Raw genomic sequence first — 672 nt, forward strand, 5'->3', positions numbered from 1 at the left:
AATTTACATTCCCACCAATAGTATGTAAAGCTTCCCTTTTCTCCATATCTTCACCATCACTTGTTATCTTCTGTTGTTGTTGTTTATTTTTTCATAGGTTATTGGGGTACAGGTGGTATTTGGTTACATGAGTAAGTTCTTTAGTGGTGATTTGTGGATTTTGGTGTGCCCATCACCCAAGCAGCATACACTCCACCCTATTTGGTGTAGATTATCCCACCCCTCCCTGTTGTTGTTTTCTTAACAACAGTCTTTCTAGCTGGAACAAGGTGATATCTCATTATGGGTTTGATAAGACTCTAAAAGCACAGGCAACAAAAGCAAAAATAGACAAATGGGATTACATTAAGTGAAAAAGCTTTTGCATACCAAAGGAAACAATCAACAAATTGAAGAGACAACCTACAGAACAGAAGAAAATATTTTCAACTTATACATCTAAAAAGGGATTAACAACCAGAATATATAAGGAACTCAAAGAACTCAATAGTGAGAAAACAAATAGCATGATTTTTTAAATGGACAAAAGACCTTGATAGATACTTCTCAAAAGAAGATACGCAAATGGCCAACAGGTATATTTTTTATGCTCAACATCACTATCATTAGAGAAATGCTCCTCCTTCTTGAATTATAAGTATAGCTCAGCAGTAGCCAAACATCATCCTGAGG

The sequence above is a fragment of the Homo sapiens genome, chromosome 9 (assembly GCF_000001405.40).
Source record: "Homo sapiens chromosome 9, GRCh38.p14 Primary Assembly".
Lineage (NCBI taxonomy): Eukaryota > Metazoa > Chordata > Mammalia > Primates > Hominidae > Homo > Homo sapiens.